The sequence below is a fragment of the Homo sapiens genome, chromosome 6 (assembly GCF_000001405.40).
Source record: "Homo sapiens chromosome 6, GRCh38.p14 Primary Assembly".
NCBI classification, from domain to species: domain Eukaryota; kingdom Metazoa; phylum Chordata; class Mammalia; order Primates; family Hominidae; genus Homo; species Homo sapiens.
In genome coordinates, this window is record NC_000006.12 from 32,550,909 (window position 1) to 32,571,196 (window position 20,288).

The 20,288-nt window shown below is 41.7% G+C and overlaps 1 pseudogene across 1 annotated transcript; it reads right to left on the bottom strand.

The window, feature by feature from the left end:
• Positions 1-1,804: 1,804 nt before the first annotated feature.
• On the bottom strand, positions 1,805-9,094 carry HLA-DRB6 (major histocompatibility complex, class II, DR beta 6 (pseudogene); annotated as a pseudogene). Its single transcript, NR_001298.1, has 6 exons — positions 8,908-9,094; positions 7,008-7,278; positions 3,782-4,063; positions 2,948-3,058; positions 2,468-2,491; positions 1,805-2,164 (listed from the first exon to the last, which is right to left on the bottom strand). The product of NR_001298.1 is annotated as a major histocompatibility complex, class II, DR beta 6 (pseudogene) (transcript).
• Between the last annotated feature and the right edge of the window lie 11,194 nt (positions 9,095-20,288).

A 20,288-nucleotide genomic window follows, 5' to 3' on the forward strand; every position in this document is an offset into this window, starting at 1 on the left:
CTAGTATTTAATGAAAAAAAAAATCAGTAACAAATGCCTTTTAAAAAATAAATGTATAGTGTGTTTTAAAACAGCACCTTATAGAGCTAGTCATTCCTTATTCTGCTTTTTTCCAAAAATTTCCCTAGAAAATATATTTACCTCATAAAATAACATGTCAGCATACTTGAGTTCTAAAAACAATCCTTTTTACTTGCTTTTTTGTTTTATTGTAATTGAGTTAATGGTTGACATTTAATACTCAATGTATGTATATTATATATATTTATGTTTTAAAAATATATATATTTAAATATATGTATAATAAATATATATGTATCTAAAAAGACCCAAAAACCCTGAATTGAGGATGCCTGTCAGGAATCTCTAGGCCTTCATGTGAAATTTAACTACAAATACTAACAACCTAATAATACCACAATGTTTCATTTCCCTACCCTGAAATCAATCTCTCCTACTCCATCCACCATTTCTTTATTTTTAAAAATATATGATTTTGCTCCTTTTCTTCCCATGTGCATCAGGCCCACTCTACAAAGGTTGAATCCTGGCTTGTCTGAGCCCATGTGATCCCACAGTCATTCCATTGTTTGAGAAAGTGGGGTACTGGGAACACTCTAGAAACTGTTTAGTTGATTCTTATAAAGACACACGGAAAAAGTCATATCCTTTTCCTGCCTTTGGGAGTTGTGAAAGAATAAGAAACGTAAAGCTGCTGCAGGGGTCCTCCTACCATCTCAGGAAAGCTGACGTGCTGTGTGTGATAGAGAGATGAGATATGAAGTTCCAGGATCGCTGGTGATGACACTGGCCTGCTGGGTTGAGCAACCCTGGAGATGCCCAGCCTTGGATGTATCAGCTATGTGAGATAACGGGTTAAAGAAAAGAAAAGCCCACTAGATGAGATTTCCTGCAATTCGCAGCAGAAGGCATCTTCATTCAAATATTCATCCCACACATTTTAATTCTACCTTAGAATTCCACACCACAAGTCTCATATAAAATGAGACAAATCATTTCCTCAACTTAGGGAACAAAGCGTAATTGTTGCAACTCTAGGATCAAACAGAACAGACATAATTGTCAGCTTAATATATTCCTATAGGATTTATATTCTTATAGGATTTATACATACATTTACTTCTATGTATGTATAATAACATATAACTAAAAACAAAATATGCATAAAATAAACATTGAATTTGATTGAAAATAAAATAAGTTGTCTCTGACAGATAAATTATGTTCAAATGATTATTACTTTGAAGTAAACTTTTGAATTGATTATGTACTTTCAGATTTGACATATTTGATGCTGACTCTCAGATAGAATACAATGGAGAACCCTCCATCTTCTAAATTTGCCTTTCTCTGAAATCTGTATAAGTCCTTTGATAATACTATATTATTGAAGTCTCTGGAATGAAAAACTATATACTAATTTAAAGGTACAGATTCACAATATTGTAGACGGGGTTAAGAAAAAGTTCTGATTGACTTGCTGGCTGGTTTCTCATCTCAATGTTTGACAAGTTTGTTTCAGTTGTTATAGTCTGTTCTCAGTTTTTATGCACTGCCTTTTTGAACGTTAGGTTTACTTTTTTAATTGACAAGTAAAAATTGTATAGTATATTTATGTTGTAGAGCATGAAATTTTGATATATGCCTATAGTGTGAAATGTCTAAATCAAGCTATTTAACATGTGCATTTACCTCATATACTTATTATATATATATGAAAACCATTATTCTATTGGGAAATAATCTTCCCTTTCTCTTATTTTTTGTCCTTGCAGCCAAATGGACCAGATAATTTTTAACTCCATGTTTGAGAAACATTGAATAATGCAATGTGTTTGTGGCACAAGGGGAATACAGACCCAGGGGAGGCAGGAAAATTTAGGTAAAAGGAAGCACAAAAGTTGAAGACGAGGCGCTGCCATCAAGGCTGTGGGGTTTCAGGCCAAGAACAGGAGCTGAGGAAGCCACAAGGGAGGGCATTTTCTGCAGAGTTGCTGAACGAGTAACAACCTGGTCCTGAGAGAGCTCTTGTGGAAGAATAAGAGCCAAGTGGGAAAGCTTTTCATCCTGCAAAGCTGTGGCAGAAGGTTCTTCCTTGAATGTGGTCATGTGCACTTCAGCTCAGGAGTCCAGCGCAGGAGTCCTGCAGAGACAGAGGAAATTGTTTTCAGACCTGGCTTTACTAAAAGCTTCTTTTCCCTGCTTTCAACGACTCAGATGAGAGCACTGCAGGAAGAAGAAAAACAAGTTCCTAGATCTCCCTGAGCCAATGATCCAGCAGAGGACAGGCCTTTTCTAAGTGGAGAGGAGGAGTTTTGGTGTAAATTGCCTGATCAGAAATCTGGATCCAAAGTCTTTCCTATTATTTCTGTCTCATGCCTTATCACCTCTGCCATCATTCTAGGGAAACTGAATCTCTTTCTGAAAGAGGATTAAAAGGTATTACCTGTTGGCTGAAGTCCAGAGTGTCCTGGGAAAAAGAGGAAAAGATATACACTTAAAAGATATGGAAGCAAATCTGTCTTCCAACACAATGTCCCAGCCCCAGATCTCCCACCTGAGATTTCTCTAACACCACAACCCACACCAACCACGACAGAGAAGAGCAGAAACAGACCATGTGACCCATGAAGTGTGAAGTGTCTGTCACAGGATCCAGTGTAATTGCATTAGCCTTAGTGGCTCTTCCTTAATTTGCTCCAGGATCTCGAACCAAAGGATCCCTACTTGTTAACCTTTCTCTTATCTCTGCAGGCCACAAGCTATTATGTTTTGACGTAGTAACCATGCACTGATGATTTCTGGATTATCAGGACATTGGAGGTCATTTGGGGAAAGACTTTATCCAGGGCCACTGATATACTGAGAACTAACCCTAGCAAAGCCAAATTTCCTCCTCCAGAAAAGCCTATGGAAAGCTCCTCACCTTTCTGATTCCTGAAGTAGATGAACAGCCCTGTCCCAAGGAAGAGCAGGCCCAGCACAAAGCCCCCGACTCCACTCAGCATCTTGCTCTGTGCAGATTCAGTCCGTGTACCTGAGAGAGGAAGCCAGGTTTAGTGATTTTTATTCCAAATTTAACCTCTTTAATTGAGACTCTAAGATTCAGAGCTTTCAAAATGGGGAAGAAGGCTACCTCCTGTAAGAACTAAAATAACTATTTTTTCTGGGGAAAAAATTTATTTTTTCTGGGGGAAAAATGGTTTTCAAATCACACTGAACAGTTACAAGGTCCAGGCATCAAACTCATTCAAATATTACAGCCTTGATGTAAGGCACAAGTTCAAAATCTGATCAACAGAAAGCCTGAGTCTCAGTGAGGTTAAGTAGTTTGTCTAGAGTGACAGAGCTAATAAAAGGCAGAGCTGAGATTGGACTCCCCTCATGTCAGGAAGGTCACTGCAGTTCTCCTCTTCTCAGATCACAACAAACAACTCAGATCAACAGCACCAGAAACACAGTCTCAGACCCAGAGGCAGAGCCTAGAGCCCAGGGAGACCGGGTGACCCTGACCTGTGCTATCATGGGGAGGTTCAAAAGAGGGACAGCCTCTCCTGCCTGGCAGGTGTGACTGCTTCTCCAGGAGGTACAGGTGTTTCTAGAAGCGATTACAGGGCTACCCCCAGTGACCTATGCTGATGGAGATGAGAACATGGAGCAAATGAAAATAGGATTGGGAGAGTAGAAACCTGACGCTCAGGGATTAGCACAGTCCCCTTCTTGGTGGTTGAGAAATTTATGAAGTCAGAAAGCTGCTCACTCCATTCCACTGTGAGAGGGCTCGTCACGCTTGGATGCTCCACTTGGCAGGTGTAAACCTCTCCACTCCGAGGAACTGTTTCCAGCATCACCAGGGTCTGGAAGGTCCAATCTCCATTCTGGATCAGGCCTATGGAGACCACCGCAGCCTTCTCTTCCTGACCATTCTGGAACCACCTGACTTTAATGCTGCCTGGATAGAAACCACTCACAGAGCCGACCAGGGGGTTGCGGTGATGCAGGGGCTGGGTCTTTGCAGGATACACAGTCACCTTAGGATGGACTAGGAGAAAAAAAGGTAGAGAGAATGAATCAGGAAGTTAGAGTCTCGTTGTTCAGCTGTTTGTATGCTTCTCTGTAAACCCAGGCTCTGGCCTCGACCAGGCCTCCAGCACAGCTGGCCATACGCCCTCACAGTGTCATCGGCCTGGAATTTAATCGTGATAGTGTGGACCTATCAGATTTGAGAGATGTTATAAAAAATTTTATTTGTTTCTTCATAGCTTGAAATTGTCACGCATTGTTGAAGTGTTTACAAATCTCTGAAAGTACAGTGTGTATTAATTAAAACTGATACCTGAGCCAGGTTGCCTGGTTCAAATCCAAGGTCTGCCTTTTACTGGTTGATCCTGGAAGAGTTTTTTGATTCTTTTGTGTCTCAACTTTCTCACGTATAATGTAGGTTAAATTATACTAATTTACCTCTTGGGGTTATATGAGGATTAATTTACGTAAAATATGTAAAATAATGACTGAAGATAGCCTTCAATTTATGAGGTCAGAAAGCTTCCCACCCCATTCCACTGTGAGAGGGCTCATCACACTTGGGTGCTCCACTTGGCACCTATTTATCATCCTCTTACACCTTGAGAGAAGAATATGTTTTAAAGCAATGTGGATAAAGGGACAGAGTAGGGTAAATGAGGAAACCGAGTCTGAATTTTTAGGAATACTACCACCATGCTGTCACACGTTAGAACACCAGAGAAATGGTTCTGCCCCTGGGAAGGTAGGACAGACAGAAATGATTCTCCAAATCTTTATGTTCCTAGAAAAGCCTGAGTCCTAAAGCAGAGATTTAGGAATTAAGAAACGTCATTTTAGTTTTGAAAGTTATTATATTTACATTTAGCTGATCAATGCATCTCCTGTGCAAAACAAACAGAAATGATTCTCCAAATCTTTTTTTTTTTTTGAGATAGAGTCTCGCTCTATTGCCCAGGCTGAAATGCAGTGGCGCCATCTTGGCTCACTGCAACTTCTGCCTCCCAGGTTCAAGTGATTCTCCTGACTCAGCCTCCTGAGTTGGTGGGACTACAGGCACCCGCCACCATGCCCAGCTAATTTTTTGTATTTTTAGTAGAGATGGGGTTTCACTGTGTTAGACAAGATGGTCTCCATCTTATGACCTCGTGATCTGCCCGCCTTGGTGCTGGGATTACAGGCATAAGCCACTGCACCCAGCCTATTCTCCAAATCTTTAAGCTCCTAGAAAGGCATGAGTCCTAAAGCAGTGAGAAGGATTAAGGAAGGCCATTTTAATATTGAAAGTTCTTATATTTACATTTAGCTGATCAATGCATCTCCTGTGCAAAACAAACATAGCTATTATTAGACCTATCATTGTAAAATGATTTTTTTTCCAGAATGACATTTGAATCAAGGCAGGGTCTGGGACTCATTAGTAGGGGTGCTTATGCCTAGGAAAATCCCTGACACTAGCATACCCTCAATAGTACAATTTTTTGTGAGAAGGAAGGAGAAACCTGGAGACAACAATACCACAAAATGGTAGATTTAAGATGGATTGTAAATCATTAATAAACATTTGCAATATATTTTATTAAATAAAAACGTTCAGGCTCAAGCCTGTAATCCCAGCACTTTGGGAGGCTGTCAGGAGTTTGAGAACAGCCTGACCAACATGGTGAAAACACGTCTCTACTAAAAATACAAAAATTAGCCGACCGTGGGGGTGCGCGCCTGTAATCCCAGCTACTCAGGAGGCAGAGGCAGAAGAATCGCTTGAATCCAGGAGGTGGAGGTTGCAGTGAGCCGAGATCGCGCCACTGCACTCCAGTATCGGCAACAGAGTGAGACTCTGTCTCAAAAAAAAAAACAAACCAAAAACAAACAAACAAAAAACGTTCAAATCCTTAATATGGAAAAAAATTTTCAAAATCAACATACAAACCACAAACTGGAGAAAATGCTGAATAAAATATCAAGAAAGTGTTAATAATCTTACAGTACAAAGAACCCACAAAGTAGCTGAGAAAAATACTAAGCCCTAGAGATAATAGACAATAGATTATTGTCCATTACCTACCAAATACAATAGGGAATTCTTAGAGCAGTAATTATAATTGGCCAATAAATAGGTCAAAATAATTCAAAAGAATTACAAATCAAAAATATAAATTAAAAATTAACCAGAAACATACATTTTCAACTTTTGGTGAATGTCATAATAAAGGTCAACAAAAGGGAAAGTGAGGTAAGTTGTGTCACAACTATCACATATAAAAGAATAATATGTAACTACTAGAAAACTATTAGCATTATAATAAAATAATAACAATGTGTTAAAACTTTAATTCAAGAAGTTAGTTTCACAATCATTTCAGCTATGTAAAAATATACACACTAAGAAAAAAAATGGCAAGAAATTTAGACCTAAAGAAGCTTCAGAGGTGCCTCAGAGGTCTCCTCAATTCGCCTAGAAGTTAATCTAATGCTTTTGCAAACAAACACCACGCACTTCTATTTTAGAGATTATATGAAGGGTGTGTGTCAGGGACAGTTTGGAACTGGCCTCCTCACATCATCCCAAACCTTCCATGCCCCTCAGCTCTCCTCCGTTAAACCTTCACCCCAACCACACACACCTTACATTTCCCTTCGCTGCATCTCTAAGGACACGAGACAACCAAGGTCTCCTCTCTCTCCAGCCCCCTGCACCCACCTCCCATGTCACCTCCCCACAGAGGCCTCCAAGGATAAGAAGAAGCCCCCTCCTGCCTCCCCTCCCACAAAGGCCACAAAGACAAATCCACACTCTACACACACACCTGTGTCCTCAGAACTCCTTGCTCAGGATTGAGAGGATTCTAAATGCTCACAGATGTCTCTCTCTCTCTCTCTCTCTCTCACACACACACACACACACACACACACTCAAATTCCCAGCTCACAGGGACTCAGGCCCAGCCCCCCGCCGCGCTCACCTCGCGGCTGCACTGTGAAGCTCTCAAAAAACCCCGTAATTGTATCTGCAGTAGTCGTCCATCTTGTCCCGCTTCTCCTCCGGGATGCCCTTCTGGCTGTTCCAGTTCTCTGCGACAGGCCGCCCCAGTTCCGTAACTGCCTGGAACTCCTCCACGTTGCTGTCGAAGCGCAGGTTCTCCTCCCGTTTATGGATGTATCTGTTCAGGTACTGCACCCGCTTCATCCCATTGAAGATATGACACTCACACTTAGCCTGCTCCAAGAAACGTGCTGTGGGGACACGAACGATCCAGTCACAGGGATGGCCTCTGAGGAAGACACTGACAGCGACGCCGCCATCCAGGGCTCCCTGGGTGGGGTGCGGGCGCTGGGAATCTTGATCAGCCCCACCTGCAACCCTGACCATGCACAGCCCAGGGGCTGATCCTCCGTCTTCCTGAGGCGTACAGGGGTTTGGGGGACCAGGGAGGAAAACTACCAATGATTACAAGGCTTTTGGGACCCCCTCCCTGCCTCCAGCCTGTTCTGGAGACCTCCAAGCAGGAGCTGGAGGAGGATCCACCGAGCGCCGCAGCCCGTGCAGCCTCCTCCTGGGAGCCTCCACCCTAAAGACACTCTCTGCTCCTTCTCTCATCCCACACGCTTTACCGGTTCCTTCAACAGCACCCACCGCGTTCATCCTGTGAACACTTCCTTAGTGATAACCTTGTGCCAGGCCTGCGCTGCCTCTAGGAATCCAAACGAGGGAAAACAGACCTCTCCACTCTGCTGGGGGAGCTTAAAGAGCAGTGAAAGCTATGGCCAAACACCAAACACACAAGAGCTTAGACAGAAATGAGAAATGTCAGAAGTGTGGAGTTCTAGAACAGAGAATAATAGGATGATCTCAATTACATTAGGGTGCCAGAGAAGGACCCGTTGAAGAATGACAGTTCAGATGTGACTTGACAGGTTAAGCAGGTGTGAGCCAGGGGGCGGAGTGGAGCCTGTGTGTCTGTTTGGACAAAACGGGAGGCACATTTTCAGGTTTAGGAAATACCATGTACAAAAGCTTGAATTGATGAACTTCTTCAGGAAACCAGAAGAAAGTTCACTAAAGCAGAGAGACTGAAGGGAAAGAGGGTAAAATATTAGCCTGGAGACATCATAAGAAGCCAGGTGTTTAAAAGCCTCATGGGTGGCATTAGGATTCTGGATTTATACTAAAGACAATGGGAAAGTATCAAAGAGATTTAAGGAGAATAAAACCACGATCCCATGAATGTCCACAAACCTTCCTTTGCATTTCTAAATCCACAAAGCTCAGAAATTCAGTTAAAAAAACTTGTTTCTACAACTCATTTGGCAAATGTCATCTGATAAGGGTAAGTGGTCAAAGGTGTCTCAGAGCTCTTATTGGTGACATGTGCTTCTGTAGTCTCAATACATATAAACATACATACATATATATGTGTAAATATACACATATGTAAAACACTATGTATATATTTTTGATGTTTTGTCTTTATGTTTCATTGAAGTGTGAAAGTGACAAAAATAACGTAAAAATAATCCTGTGGTTAAAAGTGAAATGAATAAGTAGAAGCATTTTACATTGTGAATGGTATCAAAAGTAGAATCACTACAGAAATCTGAGGCATGTTAGTGAAAAATAATTGCAGCAGCATCACTATTTGTGACTTACAAGAGCAAACTGTTGAAAGTTAATAGAGATAGTGATGACCAACAACTCATGAAAATGTTGAGAAATATTGCATAAGGCAAAAAATAAATATGAAGATACTGAACTTGCATTGACTAAATTGCCACAGTCCCTGTTGGACTGAACAAAGGAGGATGAATGGGTGAATAAAGACAAAAGACAGAAGAGTATATTTGGAAGAAGGGGTCAGGGCGCACCTTGCTCTTCGGGGGTGTTTCAGTCTGTGGCTTGATCCAGAGCAGGCTTGCAAGACTGCATTCCTCAAACAATAGGCTCTAGATGTCCCAGTGCATAACCTCAAGGAGCCCGGCACCAGGGAGTGATTGCCCTCAGCAAACCTTCTGGCGGCCGGCACAGAAGCGAGTTTGCCCACATTCTGTATTCATGATAAACAGTTCGCTGTTTGATCATATAGCCTCTGTGGAATGCTGAATTGGTGACAATTCTCCAGCCTCTGGCTCTCTATATTTCCCTCTTTCTGTTTATGTATTAATTGAAAGAATGTAAGGCCAGGTTGGGCAGCTCTCATTTTCCCATTGGCGGTCCATCCAGTTTTACAGACTATGAACAGAAGACAGAGACAAAACAACATCATTTCCAGAACTACAAATGAGATGTTAACGTAGTGTTTTAGATAGGTCCAAGGATTGAGGCTCTCCAGGCCTTGCTGGAATTCAGTCCAGTCTTCTAAAGAAGGCTGAAATTCTTGAGTTTGCTTATTTAAGTCAAAAATTTTGTTTTGTAATTCACCAATATCAAAGGTGATGTTGGATGTGAAAGCTCCCTGCAAATGGACTTTCACAAGGTCCCATGGATACTCACTTTGGTTATATTCTAACCATTTGGTTACACAAATATGAGGGTGATTAAGATGACAAAGCAATTGCTGCTGCAACTGTAAACTTTGTACTTGTTCCTCTAACCATACAACAGTGGATTTCAACATTGCTACTTCAGTTTGTAACTCAGTGTTAATTTTATTCTGAAGTAGCCACGCTTGGTCAGCCATAGGCATCCAGTTCTCCATGTAATGAGCTGTTTGAATAGAACTATGAAAAGCTGCAGAGGACATCACAACAGAAGTTATTAGTGTGACCAAGGAAACTATAGCAAAAATTATCATGCGTAAGGCTCTATGGCCATGATGAGTAAGCTGAGTTAGAAAAAGTTTCACATAATGCAAAGCAGGTGTGGCAGCCCAAGGCTTGGAAAGATTAACAGGAATCCATAGTCCAGGGATGCAACCCAAAATTATCAAAGTAGAGATATTATGTGTTTGCAATGTGCTATGATTAATGCAGTGATATAACTGGCAAGATTTACAGGCAAAAACACAAGCTGTAAATTGAGTGGTGATATTCCTTACAAATGTAACATTAAAACTGTGTCACTTACTATTGCTATTATTGGATGATATCCCAACCCAGATGCTGCCATTCATAAATGGGAGTGCTGCCTTCCATAACATCTCTTGGATTGGTCCTTTCCTCCCTAGATAATACCACTGAGGAAGAGGCAGGCTAAAGCCTGCTCCATGCCAAGCAATCTGGGCAGCAGAATAGGATTGGATCCCGGTGTGGTATAAAGAAGAAGCATTATAAGCTTGCCACCAATGCCAGTGAAATTTGTGCCATGATTTCTGATTATTATCTTTTCCATCTAGTTGATCTTTAGGTCTCCAATCCACAATATCTCCAGTTAATATTGATTATTTTTTAGCCAGTGAGCCAAGACACGGGGTCCACAGAGGGGGATAGGAACTATTGAAGGGAATTCATTCCGTATAGTCAGCACGATTAGGGCAATTGGCCTGGGAATGGTCGGTTAGCACACCAGTTACATTAATAGAACTAAGACTTAAGAAGTACATGAGTTTTCTGTAGTGACTCAACCATGTTTGAGCTTGAATTGTAAGACAGCTATGGCTGAGTGACGTCTTTGAGGTGATACACAAAGGGAGTCCTTCCAGCGGAGCGGTATAATTGATGACATTGTTCTGAGAGTCTAACTGTTCTATGTCACCGGGAGTTAGGGGTCCTGGAGCCCACGCTCCCTGATTATGATCAATCTCAGGAGGAGTGTCACTCCAGAGTATAGGCCATACTGCTGGGGGGATTGGGAATATATGCCCAATATATTTTTGCCTCTGCACAGGGAAAACATACCGCACAAGACATTATGGGTATCTTAGCCAAGAACATGGAATCAGGGGTTTTTGCCTGTCCCTGATGCTCCAGTAGTTTCTCAGCTTCCTGCATGGTTTTCCTGAGTTGTCCGCAGTTTATGAGGTTTGATATTGCCATGACTCTGATTGTCCTTCTCTCCATCTTTTCACTCAGGCTCAGCTGGCTCATGGCCCGTACTGGAGGGACCGGGCCCATGGTTGGCCACCCTGGGTTCCTCCAGTCTCCTGTTCCATGGTTGCACGCACCTTGAGGGCACCCACATGGTTTGTCCATCTCCTGTGAAAACACAAGCATACCCTCATCCCCACATCAGTAAATCCACCGGATCTTTCCATTTTCCTTTTTCTGGGGATTTCCATAACACTTTCGGAAAACCTCTCCTCTTTTTCTCTAACAGTGACCAATGTCTTTCCGCTGGAGTCTTAACATTCGTACCAGGAGTCAAAAAATTTAAAGCAAATAAGTCTAAATACAACTTTGATTGCAGTGGTAACTTGTCCCCTACTCCTCCTTTTTGTCTTTTCAACATGTGTTGTAATGTTTGATGTGCCTGCTCTATAATATCTTGTCCTCTAGGATTATAAGGAATTCCTGTTTTATGGGTTATGGCCCAAAGTTGCAGGAAATTTTGAAAAGCATGACTAGCATAAGCAGGTCCATTGTCAGTTTTTAATTGTTTAGGTATCCCCATATGAGCAAATGACAACAGAAATGTTGCCGCACATGACCAGCTGTCTCACCTGTTTGGCATGTAGCATGCAGCATATGAGAATAAGTGTCTATAGGCACATGAACATAGCTAAACTTACCAAAGGCTGCTATGTGCGTAATATCCATTTGCCAAATTTCATTTGGAGGCAAGCCTCGTGGATTACACCCTTCTATAGGTGTGGCTCCAGGGACATGCTGGCAAGTAGGACAGGCTTGTATTATAGACCTAGCTTGGCTGTGAGGCAAGTTAAATGTACAAGTAAGGGCAGAGGTGTTTTGATGCAGTAATGCATGAGAGGTTTGAGCTTGCTGAAATACAGAATCAATCAATTTATCTGCTCTATCATTACCTAGAGATAGGGCTCCAGGAAGTTGTGTGTGAGAGCAAATATGAGAAATATGAAAAGGAGCTGCATGAGAGTGAATAGTTTGTTGAAGTCTTAGGAACAAATTAACTAGTTTTGGTTCTAGGGTGCTTTTAATTGGAGCAGTTTCTACGTGACTGGCTACATTTACAACATAAGCTCAATCACAGACAATGTTGATAGGATCTGAAGCTGTGAGCTGTAAAACCTGAATGACTGCAATAAACTCTGAGCCTTGAGTGGAAATCCCAGAGGTCATTATTGTTTGAGTGTGCTTGGGTCCATAGATAGCTGCATGACCTTTGGAAGAGCCATCAGTAAAATGGTTTGTCCACCTGGAATAGGCTTGTGATGAGTAATCACAGGAAGAATGAAAGAATAGACTCTATAAAACTGCAAGATTTTGTCTGACGGATAGAGAAAACAAAGGCTTTTGTGGCTGTAGCTGGGAGGTATGCCGTTGCTGAAGCATCTGTTCTACAAGCTGTAACTCGGCTTCTGCCTCTTTGGTCAATTGCTGTGGGAAATCTAATGAAGAATCTCCTTGTAGGGTTTCATAAAGATGTGTAAGTTGATAAGTGGCAATACCTAGCATCGGGTGCAGCCAATTAATATCCCCTAACAACTGTTGAAAATCTTTTAAAGTCTGTAACCTGTCTTTATGGAGAACTACTTTTCGAGACCGTACACTTCTTTCAGTAACAATATTATCTAAGTAATGATATGGTGAAGTTGTTTGTACCTTTTCTGGAGCTATTTTGAGACTCCATTTAGTTAAAGCCTGTTTTGTTTCTCAGAATAACTGATGTAAGATTTGATCTGTAGGAGCGGCCAAAAGAATGTCATCCATAAAATGAATGATGTAAGCAGTAGGAAACATATTTCGAGGCTCCTTTCACGCCTGTCCTACAAAATGCTGACATAGCGTAGGACTGTTAAGCATGCCTTCGGGTAAAACTCTCCATTGATAGCAAGAAACAGGTTCTCTTTGATTAATAGAAGGCACAGAGAAGGCAAATTAAGGCTTATCCTTCTCATGTAATGGTATCGTGAAGAATCAATCCTTAAGATTTATTGCTACAAGAGATCAGTCTCTAGGAATGACCACTGGAATTGGCACACCTTGCTGTAATGGACCCATTGGTTTAAATTGTGCATTAATAGCTCTCAAATCATGCAGCAGTCACCATCTTCTGGACTTTTTTGGAATAAAAAACATTGGTGAATTCCAGGGGCTAACTGACTCCTCTATATGTCCTGTGTCCGATTGTTCTTATACTAGCTGCTGAAGTTGCATCAGCTTCTCCTGAGGTGGGGGCCATTGATCCACCCATATGGGTTTGTCACTGGCCATTCTAATGGTAAGGCAGAGGGTGGAGGAGAAATATCAATGACCTGCATCAGAAATCCTGACGTCCTATCCCTTTTCTATCTGTTTTTCCAGTTATTGATATCGGGTTAGGTTTTCCTTGTAGGAATTTCCCTAAACCTGTCCCACTCTGATATCCCATGTCCGTCAACATTTTAAATCCTGGGTTATCAAAGTTTTCATTTGTAAGTCTCATATTCTATGCTGTAAGTCTCAATCCCATATATTGATTGCTGTATTTGCAACATAAGGCTGAAAAGTACATGACTGTCCATCCGGACCAAGACAAGGTAAAATGTCAGCACTCTGTTGAACACTTGTAGCTGCTCTTATTCCCACTAGGGATGTGGAGGTTAGTCTGAGAGACCATACTGGGGGCCAGTCCTTACTGGATATTACTGACACTTCAGCTCCTGTATCCATAAGCCCATAACATTTCTTTCTTTTAATTTGTACTACACAGGTGGGTCTATTAGAGGCTGTGGGCTGGGATAGATAGATTTCCATTGTAGTTGTGCTCCCAAACCCTGTATTTCCTCGTTTCTCCTTTCATGGACAAGGATGTAATTTGCAGGGAATAAGCAACAATTGAGCAATATATTCTCCCAGTTCAAAAACGCAAAGATTTTTGACATTAAAACTACTTGAATTTCTCCTTCATAATGGGAGTCAACTACTCCAGGGACTACAGTGATGCCTTGCAAGTTAAGGGGGTTTTTGCCTAAAATTAGTCCTATGTATCCTGTTGGTAAAGGTCCCCAAATGCCAGTGGGAACTTTGGTAGGTTTGTCTCCTCCAAATAACGTTCTTTCTCTGGTGGGGAGATCTAATCCTGCACTTCCTGGTGAGGTGAGGAATACCAGGAATCAATTTTTCTCCTGGGACCCATCCCTGAAGTGGGACTGTGGTCTGAACTGGAAATGCCCTCATTGTTTGAGGGGCCCGGGTCCAGGCCCCCTTCTAGTTTCCCGACAAGTGGGTGCTGTTTTGATGAAATTTTGAGTGGCACTGATTAGCCCAGTGACTTCCTTGGTTACAGCGAGGACAAAGTGCTGGTGTTTTTTCTGTTGGGTGGAGCACTGCATTGTACGGTCCTTTCTGTCCGGAGATCTGGCAGCATTCCTTTTTAAAATGTCCAGTTTTTCCACAATTATAACATTTTCCCATTTTAGGGTTTGACCCTTGGCTCCTTTTAGATTTGTCAACTGCTAAATTAGCCACTGCCTGCACTAATATTGTAGAGCAATGAAGCTCAGTTCCCACATCTTGACAAGCTCTGAGAAAATTTCCCAAGTTTTTTGTACACCTCACAGGTGCCAATGCACATTTACAATCTGCATTTACATTCTCAAAAGCTAGAGTTAAAGTTAGCATCTCTGCAGCAGCAGTATGATAAATCTGATGCTTCATTGCCTCTTGTAGTCATGCAAGAAATTGTGCATAAGGTTCCTGTGACCCTTGCATGATATGTAAAAAGGATTGTAATGGGACTCCCTTTTCCGGAATTGTGAAATTGTGGCCCAGTCACATTTAGCAGCCTGTGCACACTGCTGGCATTTGAGAGTGCCATTTGATGTTCCAGGTCTGAATAAGGGCCATTACCTAACAGCATGTCCTCTGTAATGTCTCTGTGTCCAGCCACATGATTCTGTCTAGCCTGGTCTGCACACATTTCTTGCCAATTTAAATTCCATGTCAGGTATGCACTAGGAGACAAACAAGTGTGAGACAAATTCTTTACATCGAAGGGTAGAAGGTACACAGCACCAAATACAGATACTAGCAACCCTAAAGTGAATGGGCTCTGTACGCCATTATTTACCACACTCCTTTTAATTCCTTCAACAACTTAAACTCTACTGGAGTGTGTTCATGAATAAGCTGCTATGGATTATTTGGATCAGGCCTTACAGAAATAGGAAAAGTGCAAGGTCCTAAGGGCTCTCCAGCTATGGCAGCAGGGTGTAAAATTCTCTGTATTGGAGTCTCTATTTTTGCTACTGAAGGAGGCGGTACAGATGTTTCTGCTATTGGAGGAGGCGGTATAGGCCAATTTTTATTCTCCTTCTCTTGTTTTTTTATTTTCAATTGGAGCTGTGGGTGGGACAACAGATTCTTTCAGAACATCACTCCTGCTGTCCAGCAAGCTAAGAAGGAGATAATGGCAGAAGGACAGTATGGACTAAACTCCAAGTGGAGAAAACGGAAGGACCAACTTTGAGACCTTTTTGATGAGCCTGTTTTAATCTTTCTGCTCTGTCCCAATTTTCCATATCAAGAGTGCCTGTCTGTGGGAACCATGGGTTATGCATAATAACCTCCTGCAGCATCTTAGTTAATGTCTGAGATCTAACCTGAGCACCAGATTATTTCAACAAAACTTTAAGCAACTGCACATAATGTTTTTCTTCAATAGACAAATTCTGCCTCACGTTACCCTGATTCAGAAAACTTCCCGTTCCCAGTACTTCTTTAGAGCACTGACCTTATATTGCTCCCAGTACCTCTTTAGGGCACTGACCTTATATCAGCTGCCAGCAGACTCATCCTGGGGTCCCCATTCATCTTGTCAATTTCAATTCCTCTGCTCCAGCAGACCTTCTTTGTTCACATTCTCATGTCCCTGTGTTTAGAAACCACTATGGCGTCGCCCTGTCGCTGTTTGAACATCACTATGCCATGGACACTGTTGGACTGAACAAAGGAGGACGAATGTGGGAATAAAGACAAAAGAGTATATTTGGAAGAAGGGGTCAGGGGCACCTTGCTCTTTGTGAACAAGGGCCCTGAGCTTTGAGCTTCCTTCGTATTTACTGAAAAGAGATAGCAAGAAGGGAGTGGTTGTCGGTCTGCTGCTTGCTCCAGAGCAGCCTTGCAAGACTGCATTCCTCGAACAATAGGCTCTAGATGTCCCAGCAGATAACCTTAAGGAACCCGGCACCATGGAGTTATTGCCCTCAGCAAACCGTCTGGTGGCCAGCACAGAGGAGAGTTTGCCCCTATTCTGTACTCATGATAAACAGTTTGCTGTTTGATCATATTGCCGCAGTGGAAATGCTGAGTTGGTCATGATTCTCCGGACTCTGGCTCTCTACACTAAATGGATTCAACAAGAAAGTGGTTGAATTTATGCAACTGTCTAGTTATTTATAATGAAACAAACAAAAATTAACCATAAAGAAGTGAATTGGGTGGTGATTGTATAAAAGATGTGAGTCTAGGCCAGGCATAGTGGCTCACGCCTGTAATCCCAGCACTTTGGGAGGCCAAGGCAGGTGGATCACAAGGTCAGAAGATCGAGACCATCCTGGCTAACACGGTGAAACCTCATCTCTACTAAAAAAATACAAAAAATTAGCCAGGCGCGGTGTCAGGCACCTGTAGTCCCAGCTACTTGGGAGGCTGAGGCAGGAGAATGGCATGAACTCGGGAGGCGGAGCTTGCAGTGAGCCGAGATCGTGCCACTGCACTCCAGCCTGGGTGACAGAGCGAGACTCCGTCTCAAAAAAACAAAACAAAACAAAACAAAAAGAGGTAAGTCTACACTTTTCAGAAAGAGCACAGTGTGAACCAGTGCTCTCAGCCTCAGCACTACTGACATTTTGGACCAGGTAATTCTTTGTTGGTGATGGAGGCTGTTGTGTACATTGCAGGTTCTCTAGAAGTGTCCCTGGCTTCTACTCATTAAATATCAGAAGAAATCCCTGTTGTGACAACCAAAAATTCCTCCAAACATTGCCACATGTTCCCCAAGGGTGATGGGAGGGAAGGGAGGGGTGGTGAACTATCCCTGGGTAAGAACCATGGGTGTGAACCATCTGAAAAAATCTGTGTTGAACAAGCCACTATTAGTTATGGAGCAGCTGAGAATTACTTTGAAAAATATCTGTTGAAAATCTTGGTCCTACATAAAATGAAAATGTTGTAGAATTCTGGTCCCAGTACAGTGCTATGTTTCCAGAAAATGAACTTGTGGAGAACCAAGATTTACTGATTTCCTTGCCTTTATAATCAGTCATCAAATCATATCATTTATCTGTTATAGCATCTTCTTTCTTACTTTCTGTGCCACTGGTCCACCAATTATCTGTAGTAATGAATCACAACCACAGCCATTTTATTCCCATTTAATGCCCCAACTAACTCATTTCTCTCAGTCTCCCACTCCCAACAATACTAACAGGCATCAAATTTCCAGCCTTGGCCAGAGGCAGAACTGTTGGTTTTGTAATCAAGTCCCCTCAGAAAGGGAGAAACCAAAAAAATGACACTCTCATTCAGACAGTTTACAAAAAATGAGCAGGTCCCCAGACTTTGAGTACGACCTTCGTAAAGCTTCCTTTCCCCTTTAGAAATGATGCCGTGGATCAAAAATGTCTGTCTTTTTATTCTTAAATTATCTAAGCACTTTCTTTACAGAGAGGAAGTTAAAAAATAAACATGTGTGAAGTCGCTGTCACTGTGGTTTGCGTGACTAACACTGTAATCCATGCTCATGTGTCCCAGTTAGGGTTGAAAGGTTTGGCAAACAAACCAGAGGATGCCCACTTAAATTTGGATTTCCAGTAAATTACGGTGTGTATCTGAAATTCAGATTTAACTAAGAACCTGTATTTTATTTGGCAACCCCAGGCCAACTTGCTAGTCAAACCTCAGAACAAGGAGTGATTTAATACTTCCTTGTGTTCTTCAACACATGCCCAGGATAGACATATAGAACTTTTAAAATGATAAATGCAAAATGAATGAAAGTATAGTTCCACTATACATTGGAACTAGCAGCCCTTGCATCTCTGCTCCCACTTCAAGAAACAACCTGGTACATATGAATATCAGGAATTCTGTCAATAATTCAGACACAATCTGGTCACTAATCACTAATGATGGACAGACTCTCAATCTCCAGAATCAGAAAATCTGAATGGAAACATGATCTTTTCTGCTTGGGTCAATTTTTACTAACCATAAGCCTTTTTGTAATCTATCAAATGCATTTAATAACAGCATCATCTTCACAGGATTATTTTTAAGTGTAAAATTAAATAATGACTTCTTAGCACTGACCACATAATAAACACTCAAAAATATTTTCATTTTAATTTTTTATGATCCATTTAACTGCAGCTCACATTATTTTTCCTATTCCTTGATTCTAAAGCAATTAGTGTCTTCATCATGATTTTGCTATTGTCTTCTGTTTTATTAGTTTCATAAAGAATTGTCATTCTGAAAACATAGGGCAGAAACACTAGCTTATGTCTAACAATGCAGTATACCTAAACAAACCTCAGACAAAAGGCACCTGCTGACATAGGAGAAAGGGACTTTCTACATGCTCAGATTTAAACTACAATCTGATTTCTAGCACTACATTTGGGATACTGGGTTTTACTTATATCCTCTCAATTTTAGATTCCAGAGATGTATATATTTTTAAACACCACAGATACAATAGGATCATTATTGAAATTGCATACTGAAAATGATAGGCCTGGTACACAGTCACTGCAAAATGTTATATGGCATGTACTGATGGAGACCAGATTCATTTTATTCATCACTCCATTCTCATGACTTAGAGTAGTAGCTGGCATATTCTAAGTCACTAATAAACATGGGCTGTGTGAAATATTGGCTGTGTGACCTCTTCATGAGCAGTCACCACTGCACACAGGGGCCCTCTAATATTTCCTTGATAATAATGACCGAGCATCTCTGGTTCACAGGTCCTCCTGCTTCTCTTCAGCCTCTTTAGCCTTTTCCTTTAGATTCAGCTGGCTTCCTGAACCTAGAGCACAGTCCTTCCCTGAAGCTCTCTACTCAAAACAGTCAACCTTAACCTCATCCTCACTTCTTCTGCTGGCTCTTCAAATAGTCCAATCCAGTTTCCATCCTGGATACTCCATTGACTGCAAATACCAACCCCAGCAAACCCAGCACTTGCTTCTCTCTCACATTCTCACTTCACCCACTTAGTGATACTCATTGGCTTCTCCCTTCTTCTTGAAAAAAAATCTATTTTCCTTGACTTACAAGCATTGTGTTCTCTTGGTTTTTCTCCAACATCCCTGGGGCTCCCTCTCAGTCCCCTTTGCTGGCCTGGGCATTCTTCTTTTTTCTACACACAAGCTATTACCATATGTATCCTCTTCCACTCCCTGGAATTTAACAGAGTACATGTATTGATGCTGTCAACATAAACACCTCCAGCCCTGAACTCACCGTGAGTCTCTTAAATTCCCTTGGCCTTCTGATTGTTCCACATAAATGTCAATAAATCATTTCCAACCACTCACTTCAAATAATTTCCTCCCACAATTTTCCCTATCTCAATAAACACCACCACCATCCACTTATTTGTCAAGACAAAATCCTTAGGAATAAGCTTGATTATTCTATCCCCTTTACAGTAATCCATTAACAAGCTGAGCAAAATACATGCCGAGTCTGTCCACTTCATCTTTTTCACTGTCTTTATCACTAATACACACCAGGAAGCCACGAACTGTTTTCCCTGAGGATTCCCTGCGGTGCTCCTAATAGGCTTCCTGACCACTTGTGAATCCCAGCAGTCCAATCCCCCACAGAGTAGCTTGAATTAGTTTAAAAAATTGAATATAAATTGACTCTCCCTGTAACCATGCAGTAGCTTCCCATATCTGTTTAAATAAAATTAAAATTTCTTACTATGTGCATCAGGGCCTAATATGATGAGGCTCCTGACTTCCTCTCTGCATCCTACCTCATCTTCTGCCTCTCCATTTCCTTGCTTCCTATACATCAGTCCTTCTAGCCTTCTTTCTGTCCCTGCACATAATTTCCCCCACCAGGGTTTTCCCCCCATTGTGTCTCTCTGGAACATTCGACCCTTAGATCTTCACATGGCTGTTTACTTATTTTGTTGTCTCAGCTGAATGTCACTTTCTCAGGTACAGCTGCCTAAGCAT